We start from the raw sequence: 20,695 nt of genomic DNA, 5'->3' as shown, positions 1-20,695 counted from the left end.
TCCCAGCACTTTGGGAGGCCAAGGTGGGCGGATCACAAGGTCAAGAGTTTGAGACCAGCCTGGCCAATACGGTGAAACCCCGTCTCTACTAAAAATACAAAAATTAGCCAGGCGTGGTGGTGGGGGCCTGTAGTCTCAGCTACTCAGGAGGCTGAGGCGGGAGAATCACTGGAACCCAGAGGAGGAGGTTGCAGTGAGCCGAGATCGCGTCATTGCACTCCAGCCTGGGCGAGAGCGAGACTCCGTCTCAAAAAAAAAAAAGTGTTCAAAACGTGTGGGTTGTTTTATTTATAAGATGGCAGGATTGGACTTGATGATTTCTAAAGTTTCATCCAGCATAGACATTTTATGATTCTAATGATTTTTAGACTCATAGCATCATAGAATTTTTAGACCTGAAATAGACTCAGAGATCATCTAATTACTCCTCCCCATTTTTACACAAGAAGAAATTGAATATCAAGGAGGTTTTGAGGTTCAGGTTTGCAGGATTGTTGGTTGCAGAACTGAAACTATTTTCTCCTGGTCTACCATTTCCCCCAGTATTATCTGTTAACTCATATGAAATCCAGAAAATTACATTTGAAATTAAATCATATCCATCACTTAAACACAGGAAACCCCATGTTATTTATGAATATGTTAAGTAACAAAATTCATATTAATGGGTGATCAATGATGTTAATGCCTATGTTTTCAATGGCTTTAAATATATATGAACTTTGAAATTTAAGATTATGTTGTCAACAAATACTAGAATTTGTAAATTCAAATACATGTAGGTCTATTCAAGGTTGTCTTTTCATAACTTGTTGCACATTCTTTGCATGTCTACAAATAAAGGAGGTTATCAGTTCTTTTCAGTGATTATTATACGTCTGCTGTGTGCTAGAGATAGTGTTAGGCACTGAAGGGATGTATATATCACAGAAGAGACAAAAATCCTCACTCTGGTGAGGGGTACCTTTTAGTAGGGAGACATAAATAATAAACATAGTATATAGTTTTCTTCTTTACTATGTTAGAAGGTGTTAAGTGCTGTGGGAGAAAGCAGTGTTAGGGAAGGGGATTGGGGGTGCTAGGGCATTGATGGAAGTAGGGTTGCTAAATATCTGTATCACCAATGAGATAATTTTGAACAGAGTAGGGGATGAGGGAATAAGCCATGCAGAAATGTAGAAATCTTGAGGAACAGTGAGACCAATGTGGCTGGAGCAGTGTGTGTGTGTGTGTGTGTGTGTGTGTGTGTGTGTGTGTGTGTATGTATGTATATGTACATGTGTATATACAGGGGGTCGTTGGAGCAGATGAGGCCTAGGTGGCAAGGAGTGGGGGTAGGCATGGGTGGACACTGTAAGGATACTGGGCTTTTATCCTAGAGAAATGGAAATCCATTGAAGGATTCTGAGTGGTACGATATACCTTGTTTTTTTTTGTTCCATAGTGTCCTGTGACAGTATTACAGATAATTATTTTTAAAAGCAGTTTTTTCAGAAGACCCTTATTACAGTTTTCTTTACCATGCAGCTTCTATGTACAGAGTTTTGAATTCTGTTTAAGATGACTGTCTAATGTTCAATAAAAACTAATGGATTATCAAGTATACCTAGCCACACTAGGGTTAATAAAAACACAACCAAACCTCTTTGATAGATTGTTGAATATGTTCTAGTGGTTTATATGTAGTTCAGTGACTATATGCAGAAAACTGGGCCTTTGGGGACAAAGAAACGAAATTAACATTTATCGAGAAGGTACACTCTACTAGTCAGACAATTTACAATTGTCATTAATCTCCACTCCCACTTCTGAAATAGGCATTATTACTACTTTTTTTTTTTTTTTTTTTTTTTTAGCATATCTGGGAATGAAGGCTTAGCGATTCTAAATGATTTCATGCTAGTATGTGGCAGAGCAGGGGTTAGGACCCTGGTCTCTGGTTCCACACTTTTATCTCCCCCTGACCCTCACCTACTCCCATTTTTCTGTTTTTTGTTTTTTGTTTTTGTTTTTTTTTTTTTTTAACCCAGCAAGCACTCCTTCAGTGTAGATGTGGAATCTTTGTTTAGTTTTACTCTGGTTTCTTCCTTGTCATGCTGAATAATAGTGACCTAGTTGTTTCCATATCCAATCAAATGATCTGATGTAAACATTAAGTAATTGAAAAATTATAACTTTTGGTGCATATAGTAAGAAAGTTGGAGGTACAGTTAATTCTGTGTTAATTTTTGGCTGGGCGCGGTGGCTCACACCTGTAATCCCAGTACTTCGGGGGGCTGAGGCGGGCGGATCACAAGGTCAGGAGATCAAGACCATCCTGGCTAACACGGTGAAACCCCATCTCTGCTAAAAATACAAAAAATTAGCTGGATGTGGTAGCAGGCGCCTGTAGTCCCAGCTACTCAGGAGGCTGAGGCGGGAGACTGGCGTGAACCCAGGAGGTGGAGCTTGCAGTGAGCCGAGATCGCACCACTGCACTCCAGCCTGGGCGACAGAGCGGGACCCTGTCTCAAAAAAAAAAAAAAAAAAATTCTGTGTTAATTTTTTTAAAAAAGTTTTAAAAGAACAGGTCATTTGGGTCAAGTGGCTGCTTTGATTGTGCTCTTATAGATTGGGTCAAGCATAAGGAAAGTCTGGGAGAAAACTCCTTTTAAATTTCAGTATTAAGTTGTTCAATACTGTGTTTGCCATGAAATTTGATGAAGAGAAATAGTTCCAAATAGGATTCAGTTGCTTTGTGGACAGAAACAAGCTCTTGACTAATTTATATAGCCACTTTAGGTGTGCGCCCACCCCCACAAGAAAAAGCAAAACAGAAGGAAAAAAAATCACTGAAATAGTCTTTTATTACTTTATTGAATTTGTTTTATATAATTAGTACCTAGTCACTGAGAGTGATTAGGCTGCTTGTCTGCATTATGGGATTTAGTTTTTTTTTTTTTAAAGTCTATTATACTTTTGAATCACTCAACACAGAGATAAGTTGCTGAAGTACACAGCCCATTCCCTTATTAGAGTATTTTCATTTTAATAAACATGTGGAGTGTTTATTCAGAGGATTCTAATACTTCCTGATTTAGGATTTGAGAAAATATCAAATATTAGAATTAGATTTTATTTTTCAAGGATCATTTATTCTGTCTGTGAAACAAATATAGTATGTTAGAACTTAACCGTGGAATTTTAAAAATCTCATTTAATTTTTCATTTTTTGTGTGTTGGTTTTTTTTTTTGGCCTCAGTAATCTTTTGTTAATTTAAGATTACTTTAGAAAACAATGTTAAAGGAAAGTAAATTTAAATTAGCTACTTGGATTTCTTGTTAGAAGTTCAAGAAACAAGTTTGAGAGAATCAATTGCGATATGATGACTAATCCAGGTATTTTAAGATGGTTATTTTTTATTTATCATAATCAGAAATTAGCAAAAATAACTTTTGTTTTTTGTTTTTTTGAGACAGGGTCTCACTCTGTGTTGCGCAGGCTGGAGTGCAGTGGTGCAATCTCGGCTCACTGCAACCTCTGCCTCCTGGATTCAAACGATTCTCCTGCCTCAGCCTCCTGAGTAGCTGGGATTACAGACATGTGCCACCATGCCCGGCTAATTTTTGTATTTTTAGTAGAGACAGGGTTTCAGCATGTTGGCCAGGCTGGTCTCGAACTCCTGACCTCAAGTGATCCGCCCCTCTCAGCCTCCCAAAGGAGTGCACCTCCTAAAAGGCCGGGCGCGGCTGGCCTTTTGACTTGTAATTTTGACTAGTAATTCTGAGGGGTGGAGAGAAAATCTTTTAAATTTTCATTAGTTGCCTACTTTTTAAAAACCTGTTAAGAAAAGTATACAAAAGTCTACAAAATCTATTTGAATCTTACAGATATACTTCTGAATTTTTTTTTTTTTTTGAGCCGGAGTTTCGCACTTGTCACCCAGGCTGGAGTGCAATGGCACAATTTCAGCTCACTGCAGCCTCTGTCTCCGGGGTTCAGGTGATTCTCCTGCCTCAGCCTCCTGAGTAGCTGGGGTTACAGGCGCACGCCACCATGCCCAGCTAATTTTTGTATTTTTAGTAGAGACGGGGTTTCACCATGTTGGCCAGGGTGGTCTCAATCTCTTGACCTCATGATCCGCCCGCCTTGGCCTCCCAAAGTGCTGGGATTATAGGCGTGAGCCACTGCGCCCGGCCACTTCTGAATTTTTGAAAGGTAGATTGCCATAATGTATCATTGTGCACAATAATTACGTAGTATGTATATCATTCCTACTGGACTTAGTAGTACAGTAATACCCTCTTGTCTGTGATTTCACTTTGCTCGATTTCAGTTACCCGCAATCAACTGGTGATCTGAAAATATTAATGAAAAGTTCCAGAAATAAACAGTTCATAAGTTTTAAATTGTGCGTTGTTCTGAGTTAGCATGATGAAATCTCACTGTTGCAGCCGTTGGTCATCCCTTTGTCCATCTTATTCATGCTGTATTCACTGCCCACTGTTAGTCACTTAGTAGCTCTCTTAGTTATCAGGTCAAAAAAACATAGTGTATATGTGTATATATAGGGTTCTATACTATCTGTGTTTTCAGGCATCCACTGAAGTCTTGGAACGTTCCTCCCTCCCCCATGTGGATAAGAGGGGACTAAAGTAATACAGAGCCCCCCCCTTTTTTTTTGAGACGGAGTTTCGCTCTTCTTGCCCAGATTGGAGCGCAATGGTGTGATCTCCGCTCACCACAACCTCCGCCTCCCGGGTTCAAGCAATTTTCCTGCCTCAGCCTCCTGAGTAGCTGGGATTACAGGCATGTGCCACCATGCCCGGCTAATTTTGTATTCTTAGTCGAGATGGGGTTTCTCCATGTTGATCAGGCTGGTCTCGGACTCCCAACCTCAGGTGATCCGCCCCCCTCTTGGCCTCCCAGAGTGCTGGGATTACAGGTGTGAGCCACTGCGCCCAGCCTCTTTTTTTTGTTGTTGTTAAGACTGGGTGTTGCACTGTTGTTTAGGCTGGAGTTAGTGATGTGATCATGGCTCATTGCAGCCTCAACTTTCTGGACTCAAGTGACCCTCCTGCCTCAGTCTCCTAAGTAGCTGGAACTACAGCTGTGCGCCACCAGATCTTGCTGTGTTGCCCAGGCTCGTCTTGAACTCTGGGCTCAAGCAGTCCTCCTCCCTCGACCTCCCAAAGTGCTGGGATTACAGGCGTGAGCTGCCTTGCTCAGCCTCAGCACCTCTTAAAAAGGAGTTAATTTCAAGAGTTATTCAAAGTGCAGGAAATTTAAGAATGAATGAATAATCGTTATCCATAAGCAATTATTTTAAACTTCAAATTATAAGAGTACTATGAGGGTTTTGTTCGTTTTGCTTAGTATTTGAAATTGTACATATTTCCATATATTTTCTGGCCATAACCTGTACAAGTATTTGTATTTTCTCTGAGTTTCAAGCCTTCTCTTTGGAAAAGGGAACCCTGACTTAGAGTGCCCTGTGATTTTTTTTTTCAACCTGTGTACATTTAAAACTATAGATTATAGCCATCTGTTTTTAAAATAGACTGACAGGACTATAAATACATTTTTCTTTCTGTTGTATTGCTTGTCTTAAAAATAACTTATACCCTTCCTTTTCTCCTTCTTACCCCCAACCAAAAAAAAAAAAAAAAAAAAAACCCTAAATAGAAGCTCCATCCCCAAATTATCTTTTTAGTTAGGTTGTGAGAGAATGCTTAATGGGGAATTTTTAGTTGGAATGCAAATCGTTCACATTTGACTACTTTTCCATTAAAATAGGTGAAGAAATATTGCTCACAGTTTTCCTCCCTTCAACAGTCAGTGGTTGCACTTTTGCCCTTTTTGTTTTTCTTTTCACTTGAAGACAGTATGTAGTAAATGGCGAGACTGCATGCCTTGAAACCAGGCACCAGGGTTTCATTCTGGCTCTGCTACTTTTTGAATAAGTAAATAAATGATGCTGAAAGTTTGGTTCCTCATTGGTAAAATGGAACCATCTTGCAGGATTAATAAGTACCTAGCACAGTGCCTGGCACACAGTAGAAGCTCAAATGTTAGTTGCTAGTTTTATTATAGCTGTTGTTTACCATTTAAATTTTTTTTTCTGGAGTTTTTTTTTTGTTTTTTTTTTTAAGATAGGGTCGCATGCCTTCTCTTGTCCAGGCTGGAGTGCAGTGGTGCCATCATAGCTCACTGCAGCCTCTATCTCCCGGGCTCAAGTGATCCTCCCACCGCAGCCTCCCAAGTAGCTAGGACTCCAGGAATGCACCACCATGCCCGGCTACTTTTTTGTTGTTGCTAATTTTAATACAGATGAGGTCTTCCTGTGCTGCCCAGGCTGGTCTTGAACTCCTGAGCTCAAGTGTTCCTCTTGCCTTGGCCTCCCAAAGTGCTGGGAGTACAAGCCATGAGCCCACCACACCTGTCCATCTTTCTTCCTCTGTGGACTTCTGTGGAGTCCTTACCATGTGCTAGTTACAGTTCTAAGAGTTTAACCTGAATTGATTCGTGTAACCTCAACACTCTGTTTACAGATGAAGAAATTGAAGCACAGAAAGATTAATTTTCCCAAAGTCATACAGCCATTAAGTGGCACCAGTAGAGTTAAAATCTTGACAGTCTGGTTTGAAAGTCTGCACTCTTCACTAGTGAATCATATTATATTGCCTCTGTACAGGTAGAAGGAAAGAGATAGAGCTACTCCTACCTAGATTCCTATTCTGACTTTCCTGGAGTAGAACTTTGTTTCTAGGTGAAAGTCTGCTCTGGGAGTTGTAGGTAGGCTCATTGGCTGAATTGATTTTTCCTGCACTTTTGACTTCGGACCTGTAGTCTATTGGAGGGCCTTTTGTGAGTGAGTGATTTTGGATATTGGTAACGTTTTGCTATGTCTGCTGAATACCGTGTATTATGTATGGAAAGTATGATCTTCTAAAGTTAAAACTAGCTCTTCTAAATTTCAGATGAAGTTAAACTGTCAATATGATAATTACATAACAACATACAGAGCTTTTAGTGAGAATTATAGGTGATCGTAAAAGTGTTTTGATTTTGAAAGCATTGACTTTTGTGAGCTAGATTCATCAAATCCTGAGATAACAAGAATTGAGTTAGAAAATTAATTCCTTTAAAAATATAAAGGCCTAAGTGTCTGTTTCTGAAGTTCAGGCTGAAATATAAACTTAAGGATGAGAAGGTGAAAATTCAAGATAATGGAAATAATAAAATGGATCTTATTTTTTTGCTGTTAAAAAATCACTTATTAAAATTACTTCTATTTTGCAATTGTTAGGACTTAGTTGACTAGAAAGTCATTTTCCATGTTTATTTTTCCTTGGGGAAATACTTTTAATGGGAAGGCTTTTTAAACTTTATTATTTTTTCTTCAGATAAACTATTATTTAAAATGTGATTCTTAAATTTCTTTTCTTTTCTTTTTTTTGGGGGGTTAAGATTTCGCTCTGTCACCCAGGCTGTAGTGCAGCGGCGCTATCATAGCTCACTGCAGCCTTGAACTCTTGGGCTCAAGTGATCCTCATCTTCCCACCTCAGCCTCCCATGTAGCTAGGACTATAGGTGTGCGCTACAACAACCAGCTAATTAAAAAAAATTTTTGTAGCGACAGTCTCATTGTGTTACCCAGGCCAGACTAGTCTTGAACTCCTGGCCTCAAATAGTCCCACTGCCTCCGCCTCCCAAAGTGCTGGATTACAGGCGTGAGTTACTGCACCTGGCTGATTCTCTTAATTCTTGAATTTCTTGAGTGAAAAAAATAATGCAAATATGCTAGATTTAAGAATAAAACAATATGTGTTGATAACTTGGCATGTTATATTTTGGAAAGATGAACAAATAAATTCATTTTACTGTTCAGATTATGACAGTATTTCTAATTTTGGTAATCTTTGATACCGTTGTAATTAGCTTTCTGTTACAAGAGATAGCATTTCTCCTCCCCCCTGCTTTTTTTGCTGGGGTTAAAAAGCAAAATATATTCTGTTTTATGCATTTTACAGCCTTACAACTATTGCATTTCTTTGAAAACTTGATAATACCTAGGTAGTTTTAACATTGGAATACTGAAGATTATATTGCCTGATCTTATTTAATTATTACTCTAGTTTATTCCCTTTAAATAAGTATTTAAATAAATGGCATATATTACATTTGAGTGCTGAATCATTGTAGCTGTCACATGGTTTTGCTCTTGGGAAGTTCCCCACTGGGTTTGTAGTAGAAACAGAGAAAAAATCCATCTGTTTTTTCTTCCACCTCAATTTTCTATCCACCCTCTCATCCCCTATAAAATCATTCTTCTCTGGTTAGTCACCTTTTTCTCTTCCTTGTGTTGATAAAAATTTAAATCTTTAGTGCCATACTGTCAAAATCAGAACACTGCCTGGTACACCTTTGTGGCTTAGGAAAAGGGGATGGGAGTGTTACAGCTCCCCTAAATTGGTCAGGTATACTCCAGCTTTATTCTAGGATAGCCTTTGAGACTACAGAATTGAATTCCCTTAGTAGGGAATCAAATGTTACAATGTATTCTAGGAACAGAGAGCTGACAGAGAAGTGGTAAGAGTGCATTGTAAGTGTAAGAAGTGGAGGGTACTTATCAGACTTTATAGGAATGGGATTGTCAATATCACTTGGCTTAGCTGGAGTCCGTACTGTCAGTTCTTGGCCTGGTAGAACTCAGTAGCCTTTATGGTGTTGGAAGTGGGTAGGTACACCCTGTTTCTTCAAATATGTTGATATTGCCCTATATAGTGGAAATTTATACCAAACCAGTTAAAATAGTTTACATTTGGCCTGGCGCGGTGGCTCATGCCTGTAATCCCAGAACTTTGGGAGGCTGAGGCGGTTGGATCACCTGAGGTCAGGAGTTCAAGACCAGCCTAGGCAACATGGCAAAACCCCATCTCTACTAAAAATACAAAAATCAGCTGGGCGCAGCAGTGCGTGCCTGTAATCCCAGCTACTCGGGAGGCTGAGGCAGGAGAATCGCTTGAGCCTGGGAGATGGAGGTTGCAGTGAGCTGAGATGGTGCCACTGCATTTCTGCCTGGCAACAGAGCGAGACTCCGTCTCAAAAAAAAAAAAAGTTTACATTTATATATATATATCATTTATTACATAAACATTTTTCAAATAAGATATGACATGGAATTAATTCATTTGTATAATTTTGTTTTTAGTTGGTGTGGGTAAGACAGTTTTTTATCTTTGTTTCCCTGGTCTTCTATTATCTTACTTTTTGATAGGAATAGTATAGTAGAATGAATAGTTCTTTTTGGCTTGTAGAAATGACTTAAGCTATGATTTTTCCTTCCTCCCTTCAACAAAGGTGATTGACCCTGCAGGGAACAGAGCACTGGATTTAAAACTATATGATAAAACCCCAGACAAATCTGATTGTTTTGCCACTTCCAACTTTTAGGAGGATGGGGGAAAAGTTATGCCAATATGTTATATCAGGTTTAATTAAAAAGTAATTTCCAGGCCAGGCACAGTGGCTCACTCCTGTAGTCCCAGCACTTTGGGAGGCTGAGGCAGGTAGATTGCTTGAGCCCGGGCGTTTGAGACCAGCCTGGGCAACATAGCGAGACCCTGTCTCTAAAAAAACAAAAAAACCTACGTAATTTCCAGGATATGGTCTGTGGTTGGTGTACTTGCAGGTTAATCTCCAACACTTCCTGCACCATTGTGCAGTGGTCACTGACAGTCACAGTGATCCTTTGGTACTTTACTTTGTTCCTCAGAGGAGGATTAAAACATGTTAGGGTACTCTGTCACTCAAGGGAGAAAGGTATACTGAGTTTTAAAATAAATTTCAGTAACAAAAGTTGGAATCAAAATGGTTTCCTTGTTAACTTTCATTTAAGCAAAATTAGGACAGTTCTCTTCCTTGGCATTTGATTTCATTGTGAGTTTGTTGTCATTGAACAGTAAATCTCAAGGAGGAGATAGTTTTCAAAAGGGAAGAATCCTAGACACTTGAGGGATGTGTTTTGCAATGGGATATGACTTATCTGATGTGCAGATGTTGTAGAGTTACTAGTGAAGTAGCAGAAGAGTAGTGAATTTATAGTTTCTTAATTTTAGTGGAGTACAGAGGTTGAGATTTTAATCTGTAATCCTAACAGTAACATATTTACAAAGAGAGGAGTGTGGCTGACATCAGATTCTAGAGCATAGATATTTTTCATATTGCAAGAAAAAGGGAAATAGGGCTAGTTTTCATATTTGATTTTGCATAGTCTTGTTTTTACTGTGATCGGTAGAAGTATGTTGTAAAATCTCAAAAGCTATGTAAATATGTACAGCAAGCAGTATGATTTATGGAAAGATTACTCAGATTCATGAGACCTCTTTGTTCTTGTCTCATTTCTACTAATAACAACCTGAGTGATTTTTTTGAACAAATGCCTTAACCTTCTGGTTAAGGTTCTCTGATCTGTCTAATCTGGAAGTTGATGTTTACGATCTGTCTGTTTGGGCCAGATGAGGGAATCTGGGGCTCTCAAATGTGTTGCTTAAACCACAGAAAATATATATATATATATATATATATATATATAGTTTTTTTGTTTGTTTGTTTGGAGGTGAAGCCTCGCTCTTGTCCCCCAGGCTGGAGTGTGATGATGTGATCTTGGCTCACTGCAACCTCTGCCTCCCGGGTTCAAGCAGTTCTTCTGCCTCAGCCTCCCGAGTAGCTGGGATTACAGGCACCTGCCACCATGCCTGGCTAATTTTTGTATTTTTAGTAGAGACGGGGTTTCACCATGTTGGGCAGGCTGGTCTTGAACTCCTGACTTCAGGTGATCCTCCCGCCTGGGCCTCCCAAGGTGCTGGGATTACAGGCGTGAGCCACTGTGCCCAGCCAACCACAGAATATTGTGTCTATTCATGAGTACCTCAAGTTTTCCCTCTTCATTTACAATAGTAGCTTAGGAAGAACCCAAGTATTTTGCTAGAAGATGGTATTGGAGCTTGGGAGGAGGAAGAGTAACAGTGGTGAGGCTGCAGTTGCTAGGAGGCCGGCTTGGGTGAGAGGGAAGGGAGAACATGGTCTTTGATACTGGGAGAGAGTATCCTGCCTTCTTTTCCTGTGGGTTTAGGTCAGATGAGAAATGAATCCTTGACAATGTGCAGCAAGTGAGAAGAGGTGATTATCTCTTCACCTCTTCCCCTCTCTGAGAAGAAGTAGAAGGGCTGTTTGGAGAGACCAAGGGTCTCTGCTAGGCTCTGGCTAAGGGAATGAAGTGATTCTTTCAGGGGAAAAAGAAAAAAAAATTATTTTGATAGGATATGAGGAAATTTTGTTGATAATTTTCTTGGTTCCTGGATACAACTAGGAGAAATGTCGAATACTCCTATTTTATTGCTTTCTCCTATTTGGTAAAAACAGCAAGAAAACAAGGTAGGTGGTGTTGGGGAGGGAGGATCCCCCCTCTTCCCACGCCATATCCTTTATAGTGGGTATTAGGACTGCAGTAAACACCTGTTAATCTCATGGTTCCCCAGGGGCATTTGCTGACTGGGCAGATCATGTCATCTTCTTCCCTGCGTCTGATCATGTCACCTTCTTCCCCGTGTCTGCTTGTGCATCCATCTCAGAGCACTGTGCTTGGTCGGGGTTTGGAGGGTAGCGCGGCTTCCCTTCTGCAGCCTTTCTGTATGCTCTCAGGACCCACTGTAGGAGAAACGCTGGGTGGTTGAGCTTCCTTCGCTTCTGTCCTATTTCTCTTCCAAAACTGTACCATATTTTCTGTTTCATATTTTTTAAAAGTTAGCCTTTCTGATGAATAATAGATCAAAAATAAATCTTAAGCTAAAATGTTTTAATGTTTTGTGAGGAAAAAGTATTACTAAGAATGTTTAGTTAGCCATATAGAAATATTTAGTCTTATGTGATTTTACATAGAGTTTCAGTTTATTTTCTGGTTTCAATAGAACAAGTTGAAATCATCGCAGAAGGATAAAGTTCGTCAGTTTATGATCTTCACACAATCTAGTGAAAAAACAGCAGTAAGTTGTCTTTCTCAAAATGACTGGAAGTTAGATGTTGCAACAGATAATTTTTTCCAAAATCCTGAACTTTATATACGAGAGAGTGTAAAAGGATCATTGGACAGGAAGAAGTTAGAACAGCTGTACAATAGATACAAAGGTGAGTGCTTGCTTGTGACTTTAAGTAAATTTTGGACCAGATTTTCCAAAGAGATGGGCTTATGAGAAATGAAATACTATATATAACTTAAATTGGGTGGATGTGTCCAATAGAGGTCTGTAGATCTTAGAGTTATTTCAAGAGGTCTGAGGAAAAATTATTTTCTTTTCACTAAAATTTCTTCTTGGCCTCTTTATTTTCCTCCCCCATTGTGCAAGTTGAGAATGGGGATGGGGAACTGTTTTTTCTGCCCTCATATGTATAAAACTCAGCTGAACCAGTCTAAGGAAACCTGCATACTGAATCTTTAAAGAATTATAAAGTAATGCATACTTTTAAAAAAGTTCAACTGCATAATAGGTGAATAAGAAAAGGTTAATAGTTTGTCTTTTCTTATTCATTCTCCTGAGTAACCAGTGCTGTGGATCCTTCCATATCTTTTATGTTTATGCAGAAATATATTTACAGAGTTTCTTTCAAAGTTTTTCTGAAAATGGGATATTTATTTTATGCATAACTTGTGCTCCAAAGTCAAATTATGTTCATGTTTTTTATTGCTGGAAATATTGCCAGATTACTTTTAGAAAGGTGTTAGCAAGGCTGGGCGTGGTGGCTCACACCTGTAATCCCAGCACTTTGGGAGGCCGAGGTGGTCAGATCACAAGGTCAGGAGTTCAAGACCAGTCTGTCCAATATGGTAAAACCCTGTCTCTACTAAAAATACAAAAATTAGCTGGGCGTGGTGGCGTGTGCCTGTAGTCCCCGCTACTCAGGAGGCTGAGGCAGAAGAATCACTTGAACCTGGGAGGCAGAGGTTACAGTGAGCTAAGATCATGCCACTGCACTCCAGCCTGGGTGACAGAGTGAGACTCCGTCTCAAAAAAAAAAAAAAAAAAAAAAAGAAAGGTGTTAGTAAATCATATTTGATAGCAGTCTATGAGTGCCTCTTTCTCTTTGTTTTTGTTATTTAAAATTTTTGCCTCTCTGATAAGTATAGATTTTTTTCTTTAAACAAGAGATATTTACATTGTTGAGATTAGGGTTGAATTGCATAGTTTAGGTCACAGTTTTTCTGATACTCTTAAGAAGTAATTGTTGTGGTAAAATGAACTTTGTTCTAAGAAAAAAAGAATTTCTGTTCAGAATGCCTACCTAAGCAAAATATGGATATCTTGAATTAGAATCCCATGTCCCTATATACGAATGTCTGATTTTCTGAATGTGTATAAGTATGGGACATATTTCACATGAATAAATGAGACTTTAAAAAATCATGTCTCATCTGCATATATCTCTACACTTTAAGAATGCTGTTAGTAAGGAGAATGGCTTTAAATAATGGGAAAGTGTATGTTAGAGTAATATCGTTTCATGCCTTCCATATATTGTGGTCATTTAAAAAATGGCATATAAAGCATTACCTTTTTCAGTTTTCATAATGTAGCATAATATGACACTACTTTAATATTGCATTGTTATTTTTAAAGACCCTCAAGATGAGAATAAAATTGGAATAGATGGCATACAGCAGTTCTGTGATGACCTGGCACTCGATCCAGCCAGCATTAGTGTGTTGATTATTGCGTGGAAGTTCAGAGCAGCAACACAGTGCGAGTTCTCCAAACAGGAGTTCATGGATGGCATGACAGAATTAGGGTGAGTATATAATTACAATAGGAAATTAGATATGTTACTGTGGAACTGAATTATGTCATGAACTTTTTAGTGTAAATTTAAAGATTTGCTGGCCCACAAACATTGGTATAAATAGAAATGGGTTAACTTGCTAGTTTCCATGTTATACAGTTTTTTGGGTTTGTCAAGTTATTTATATAGTTAGTACAGCCTATTCTATTTGGCTATATTCTTATCATTTACTTCTAAGGCAGGTTCATTAGTATTAAAATTATGCATTAATATTTACTATGGAAAAGTGAAATGACCAAGTTTTAAAGTTATTTCCTAATGTGAGACTTTGAACCCTGCATTTATAAAATCCTAGAATTTAAAAACTGGAAGATGCCTTAGAAGTTACTACTTGTTTCACTTAACACTTTGACAGCTGATTAGCTGAATGTCTTTGGATAAATTGATTGAAAAGTCATGGGTAGAGGTTTTACCTGTGACCTCTAGTTGTCCATATTTAATGAGGTTGCAGACAGAAGTAATCAGTCTGTTGGTAGGTAACAAGCTGCCCTTTCTGTTTTTTAGTGGGCCACTATTGAATAGTAATAGCTAACATTTATTGAACATTATTTTATTTCAGTTAACTGTGCTAAGTACTTCTCCTACCTCTTCACAGCAACTTTTTGAGAATAGTTTTCTATCCCCATTTTAGAGATGAAGAAATTGAGGTACAGAGAAATTATAGAATTAGGTAGTATTAGAGTCATGATTCGAGTCTGAGTGACATTGCAGTCAGTCAGCGTCCAGTCAAGATACAAAAACCACACCAGGGGCTAGGCGCGGTGGCTCATGCCTGTAGTTCCAGCACTTTGGGAGGCCGAGGTGGGTGGATCACCTTAGTTTGGGAGTTTGAGACCAGCTTGACCAACATGGAGAAACCCCGTCTCTACAAAAAATACAAAATTAGCTGGGCATAGTGGCACATGCCTGTAATCCCAGCTACTTGGGAGGCTGAGGCAGGAGAATCGCTTGAACCCGGGAGGCGGAGGTTGTGGTGAGCCGAGATCACGCCATTGCACTCCAGCCTGGGCAGCAAGAGCAATACTCCATCTCAAAAACAACAACAACAAAACAAAAACCACACCTGTAATTTTAACAGAGAAAATTTAAAGACTTGCTTTACTCTGTCAAAGGGATAAAAGGAAACTCCAAGGCATAACAGGTAGCAGTTGCAGTAAGCTGCTACCACCTCTGGGAAGTAAGGGAAGGGAACAGACAAGGAAGAAATTTAGAAGCTTAGGAGATCCCCACAAGGCTGAGATTCAGATCTGGGGTTTGGGGGGAGAGGGTGTGGCCAGCTGTGATGCTGGTGAAAAAACTGCCTGGAGACCACTTGCTGCAGGCTGTGAGATTGCTACCACTAGTGGATACTGCTGGGACCTTCCCACACACTAAAACCCTTGCCCTCTGGTGAAAACAAACTGGGATAAGAAAAGTTCCTTCTTCCTCTTCCAGCCTTTCATTGGCTCTTGGTAGAACCTAACACAGAGCCAGCTGGCAAGAAAAATGAAGTCTCACAGTTTGCAGTCCAATATCACAAAGTAGGGCAAAGAAGGATAGGTTTAAAGCTGAGAGGCAGTAAATTAACTGGCCTGGACACTATGTCCTTCAGCCAAAGCCAGGCCCATCCTGAACTTGCTGGGATTTTCTGTGCTAGGACAGGTTTCATCAGAACTTAAGGAAGCAATGTTTTTAAACATTTGAAACTGAATTCATGTAATATGTAATGAACTTTCAAATCAAAATTTTAATTTACAAACTAATGATCTGGAAGGTGTTACAAAGAATGTAGAAGGAAAATGAAAGCAAAAAACGATTAGAAGGAAAAAAATTGAATTGATTTGTTTGTGGAATCTATAAGAAATAGGGTATTTCTACCATAAGGCTCTATGAGGAAAGTAAGGCTTGGTACTTAGAGCTTTTCAAACTCTTCGAAAGTTGAATGTTTTGCACATACAGAAAAAGCTTAATATTAATTTGAGATGATTCAGTTGGAGGTGGTAGGAGGTTCACCTGTTTACTCCTGTACTGTGTATATAACAAGAAGCAAGTTTTCAGAAGGAATGTTTCCTCATAAGCAAGAGACCATACTTTTAGTTAATTTAGATAGTAGACGCGATTAATTACTGTGTCAGTAGTGTCTAATACAGTTTAAAATGATTGTTATGCTGATTACTATACATTCTTATTTATCCACTGAAGCTGACTTCTACTAGTGAAAGTGTTGATAGTCTAGTGAATTATGTAATTAAAACGAATAGCCTGTTTCTTTTAAAAGTAATTATTTAGAACATTTAATCACTCTAGACCTCTTCTTCCCGCAGCTAACCCCCATGCGTGTTTATATTTATGTAATATAAAAAGACTGAATTCGAACTATTTGATTTTTAAAAAAGTAGTTCTAGGAAATAAATGTAAGCCCTCATGGGAATAAGTAAGTTATTAATTTATAGTGAAACAGTTAATCTTTTATAAACTTAATTTTACGACGCAGATGTGACAGCATAGAAAAACTAAAGGCCCAGATACCCAAGATGGAACAAGAATTGAAAGAACCAGGACGATTTAAGGATTTTTACCAGTTTACTTTTAATTTTGCAAAGAATCCAGGACAAAAAGGATTAGGTAAGAATTTTTAAAAATTATATTTGGTGTTTCAGATATATTCAAATACATTGACAGTGTCGTTTTTGTAATAGAAAGTTATGTGTTTTGAGCATAAAGTCATGAAAATACCAGTTATTGAAAAGTAATTAGAAACAGGAAATTTTTAATCAGAAAATACCATGCACATTGAGTAAGTTTACCCTGGGTACTATATGTGAACCACTGACTTTTGCTTTATGAAAACTACAGTCAATATAGAAGATAGTTGTTAAAATTCCACTGACAGTTATTTATTTATGCATTCATCCATTCATTCATTTTTTCATTCATGACCCTGAAGATATTTTAGGATCTTAGGATCTATAGAAATAGCACTATAAGATTTCTGAGTCATAGAATGCCAGATAAATTTATTCTTTTTTGTTATGATTTATTTGAAAACTATAAGGATGAAAAATGAAGTGCTTATCATTCATAGTCTTATTATCCAGAAATAACCACTGTAAAAGTTTAGATCAATCCATTTGTATTTGTACATTTGCTTTTGGGATAGTTAAGGGGATATGAGAGTAAAAGATACAGTGTAATTTGCAAATTACCTAAAAAGATTAGATAGTGCTAGTAGGTAATTACAAAATAATAAAAGTATGTAAGGGTTTTAGAGGGAGAAATGAGTAAAAGCAGGAGTGGTTGGGAAATGCTTCCTGGACAAGGTGGGATATGAACTAAAGGATTTGGTATTTGGCTGAACGAGGGAAGATAAAAGATGTTCCAGTGAGAAGATAGTTATGAATGAAGGTCTAAAATTTCAGCAATAAGCTTGGCTTTGTGCAGGAGAGAAGTTGTTGGTTTGATTTTAATGAGAATGCTTGTTTGGAGATGAAATTGGTGAGACACAAGAAAGCTGAATAACCACAGGCTTCTTTTGAAATCAGAAAGGATTTTGTTTTTATTTTTTTTTTTGGAGACAGAAAGGTTTAAATTGGAATTTGTGGGAAATGGGGACCCAATGAAGATTTTGATGATGGTGATAACTTCCATTTAATGTGAGCTTTTAGTATGTCTGGCACTGTGCTAAGTACTGTACTTTACATATACTACTTGTCTTGTATGTAAGTCCATTTTGTGTTGCTATAACAGAATACCTGAGACTGGGTAACTTACAAAGAGGTTTGTTTAGCTCATGATTCTGCAGGCTAGGAGTGGGGCATGGCCCTGGCTTCTGCAGAGGGCTTTTATGCTGCATCATCACGTGGCAGACAAGGTCAAAGGGGAAGTGGACTCCTGTGAGGAGAGAGACCAAACAGGAGGGGAAGCCTCGCTTTATAATAACACACTCCAGGAACTAATCCATTCCCTCTGGCAAGAACTCACTGTTGCAAAAGGAGAATAGCACCAAGCCATTCATGAGGGATCCACCCCCATGAGTTAAATGCTGCCCACCAGGCCTCATCTTCCAGCTCCACCACAGTGGGGATAAAATTTCAGTACGAGTTTTGGTGGAACAAACCAACTATATCCAAACCATAGCACTGCCTCATTTAATGTTTACCAATTTTTTGAGTGATTCATCCTTTCATTCAGTAATTTACCACCTGCTATGTGCCGTGCCAAATACATAGTAATAAAGTGCTAGCAGTTTATTATCCTTAATTTGAAGATGAGGAAATTTAGGCACAGGAAGGTTAAGTAACTTACCCAGTGAAGGTAAATGAGGTTTTTTTTTTTTTTTTTTTTTTTTTGGTTTTTGAAGATATAGTAGTTGGAGAGGCTAATAAGGGGCCTTCTGCACTAATTCCACTTTATTTTTTAAATTGGGGGGAAAAAGTATTGAGAAACAGATTATATGAACGGATTAGATTGAGGAAGTGACGGAAAGGTAGAGAGGAAGGGATAAATGTATAACCTTTGTAATGTGGTATGGCCCCACGAGTTACTAAACATGACTGAATTGATGAAAGATTCATAACATATTTGTAAAGCGAAATTCTCAATAATAAAGCCTCCTTTCCAACTTGATTGCTCAATATAGATAGGATTTTATTCTTAAAGGAAAAATCCTCATTTTGCAGGCAGAATAAGCCGGGATACCTACAATTAGTTTTTCTGTCTGGGGCCACCAGTTAACTGGGATGTTTTTTCTGTTTTTCTCTTTCCTTCCACAAATAATAATCTGTTAAAGTCTTTGAATTTACATGTATGTGTAAAATAATTATTTTGTCATATTTAGAAGTGTAGTACAATATTTTGATAAGATTAAATATAATGTGAATGTCAAATGTTGATTTAAAGGGACATAACCTATTTCTTAGTTATATCGCTACCCTTTACTGGAGCACAAAATAAATGGTGTTTTGGGTGAATATATAGTTTTGAGACTGAATCTTAGTTTTTATTACTTGTGGTAAGAATTGAGCAAAATTAAATTTTTATAACTATTGGATATATTAATATGGTAAATTGGAATTTTAGATTACAGGAAAAAATTGAGAAACAGATTATGTGAAAGCATTATGTTGAAGAATTATGTGTGTTTATTCTGTTATCTAATAAGTATTGTGCTTAAGAAAAAATGTAATATTTAAAGGATGTAGAGTTTTTGTTTCATAAGATGAGCATTCTGAAGATCGATGGCACAGCAATGTGAATGTACTTCACACTGAACTGCACCCTTCAAAAAGATTCAGATGATAAACTTTATGTTATATGTATTTAACTACAATGAAAATGTTATTTAAGACCCCCCCACAGCCATACAGTGTACAATACAAAGAATGAACTCTAATGTAGAATATGGACCTTAGTCAATAATAATATATTCATATTGATTCATCAGTTATAAAAAATATACCACACTAAAGCAAGATGTTAAAAATAGTAGGAACTGACTAGGGAAGAGGGTATATGGAAATCTCTACTTTCTGCTCAACTTTTCATAAACCTAAAACTAAAAAAGTCTATTAATTAAAAAAAAGAAAAATGTAGTAAGAGACAAATCATAGTTTTTTTTTTTGGTTTGTTTTGCTTTGGTGTTAGGTATCAGGAAATGTAATGACTTGCTTATTTGCAGAGTTTAATTAAAAAGGAAACAGTTTTTTATAACAGCCTTTCTAAGGGTTCACAGTGCTCTTAAATTACAAGATTTGGCAGAGAGGAATTAGAAGATCATAGGAGAAGAGGTAAGGCCCAAAACAAATTGGCAGAGAGTGAGTGACAACCCTGTGGTTTGTTTATAAATAGCTGTGCTAATTAAAATGAGAACTGGTGTATTCCATGTTTCTGTTTTTTTTTTTTTTTTTTTTTTTTGATGCAGGGTCTTGCTCTGTTGCCCAGGCTGGAATGCAGTGGTGCAATCGTGGCTCACTGCAGGCTTGACTTCCTGGGCTCAAGTGATCCTCCTGCCTCCGCCTCCCGAGTAGCTGGAACTATATAGGGAAGCACCACCATGCCAGGCTAATTTTTTAATTTCTTGTGGAGCTGGAGACTTGCGGTATTACCCAGCCTGGTTATTTTTTCACTTTTTATAACCTTACTTCTTGTGATACCAGGATAGGGTGCTTCCTCTGTTGCCATCTGCTTTAGTAATCTGACTTAAACATTTTTTTTTGATTTGTTTTAGATACAGGATCTGGCTCTCTTGCCTAGGTTGGACTGTAGTGCCATGATCGTAGCTCACTGCAGTCTCAAACTCCTAGGCTCAAGTGATCCTCCTGCCTCTGCCTCCGGAGTAGCCAGACTACAGGCGTGTGCCACCATGCCTGGCTAATTTTTACATTTTTTGTAGAGATAAGGACTCACCGTGTTGCCCAGGCTGGCCTCAACCTCCTGGCCTCAAGTGATCACCCCGCCTTGGCCTCCCAAAGTCTTGGGATTACAGGCATGAGCCACCACACCCAGCCTGCCATTTTCTGATAATTGCCTGAATCTTAAAATTTGAAAAGGATTTCATAAGTCCTCTATAAAATTTAACCTACCCAAAGTAGCATCCTTACCTGATGCTCATTCAGTTTCTCCTTTTGAACATGCAGGGACTGGACACACATTGTTTTAGGAAGTTGTCCATTCCTATCACAGAATATCCTTACTTGTTATTACACAGTTCTTCCTTATTAAGCTAACATCTTTGTCTTTATTACTTCTATCATTGCTCTTACTTGTCCCCCAGTGCAACACTGATAAAGGCTAAAATTAAAGATCCACTCTCAGTTACCTGTTGTTTTTCTCCAGGCCAGC

The 20,695-nt window shown here is 38.2% G+C and overlaps 1 protein-coding gene across 11 annotated transcripts in view; it reads left to right on the top strand.

The window, feature by feature from the left end:
• Positions 1–20,695, top strand: part of DCUN1D1 (defective in cullin neddylation 1 domain containing 1) — a 47,845-nt gene that overhangs the window by 8,213 nt on the left and 18,937 nt on the right. For all 11 annotated transcript variants that reach the window (NM_001308101.2, NM_020640.4, XM_024453601.2 and 8 more), the window contains 3 exons: positions 11,953–12,169; positions 13,657–13,825; positions 16,350–16,480. In NM_001308101.2, the coding sequence (NP_001295030.1) occupies positions 11,995–12,169; positions 13,657–13,825; positions 16,350–16,480 (475 nt within the window). In that variant the 5' untranslated portion in view covers positions 11,953–11,994. The remainder of the gene's footprint in view (positions 1–11,952; positions 12,170–13,656; positions 13,826–16,349; positions 16,481–20,695) is intronic.

Source organism: Homo sapiens, chromosome 3 (genome assembly GCF_000001405.40).
Source record: "Homo sapiens chromosome 3, GRCh38.p14 Primary Assembly".
In the NCBI taxonomy this organism is placed as follows: Eukaryota; Metazoa; Chordata; class Mammalia; order Primates; family Hominidae; genus Homo; species Homo sapiens.
Note: the sequence above shows the minus strand (reverse complement) of the source record. Positions and strands in the feature narration are given on the sequence as shown.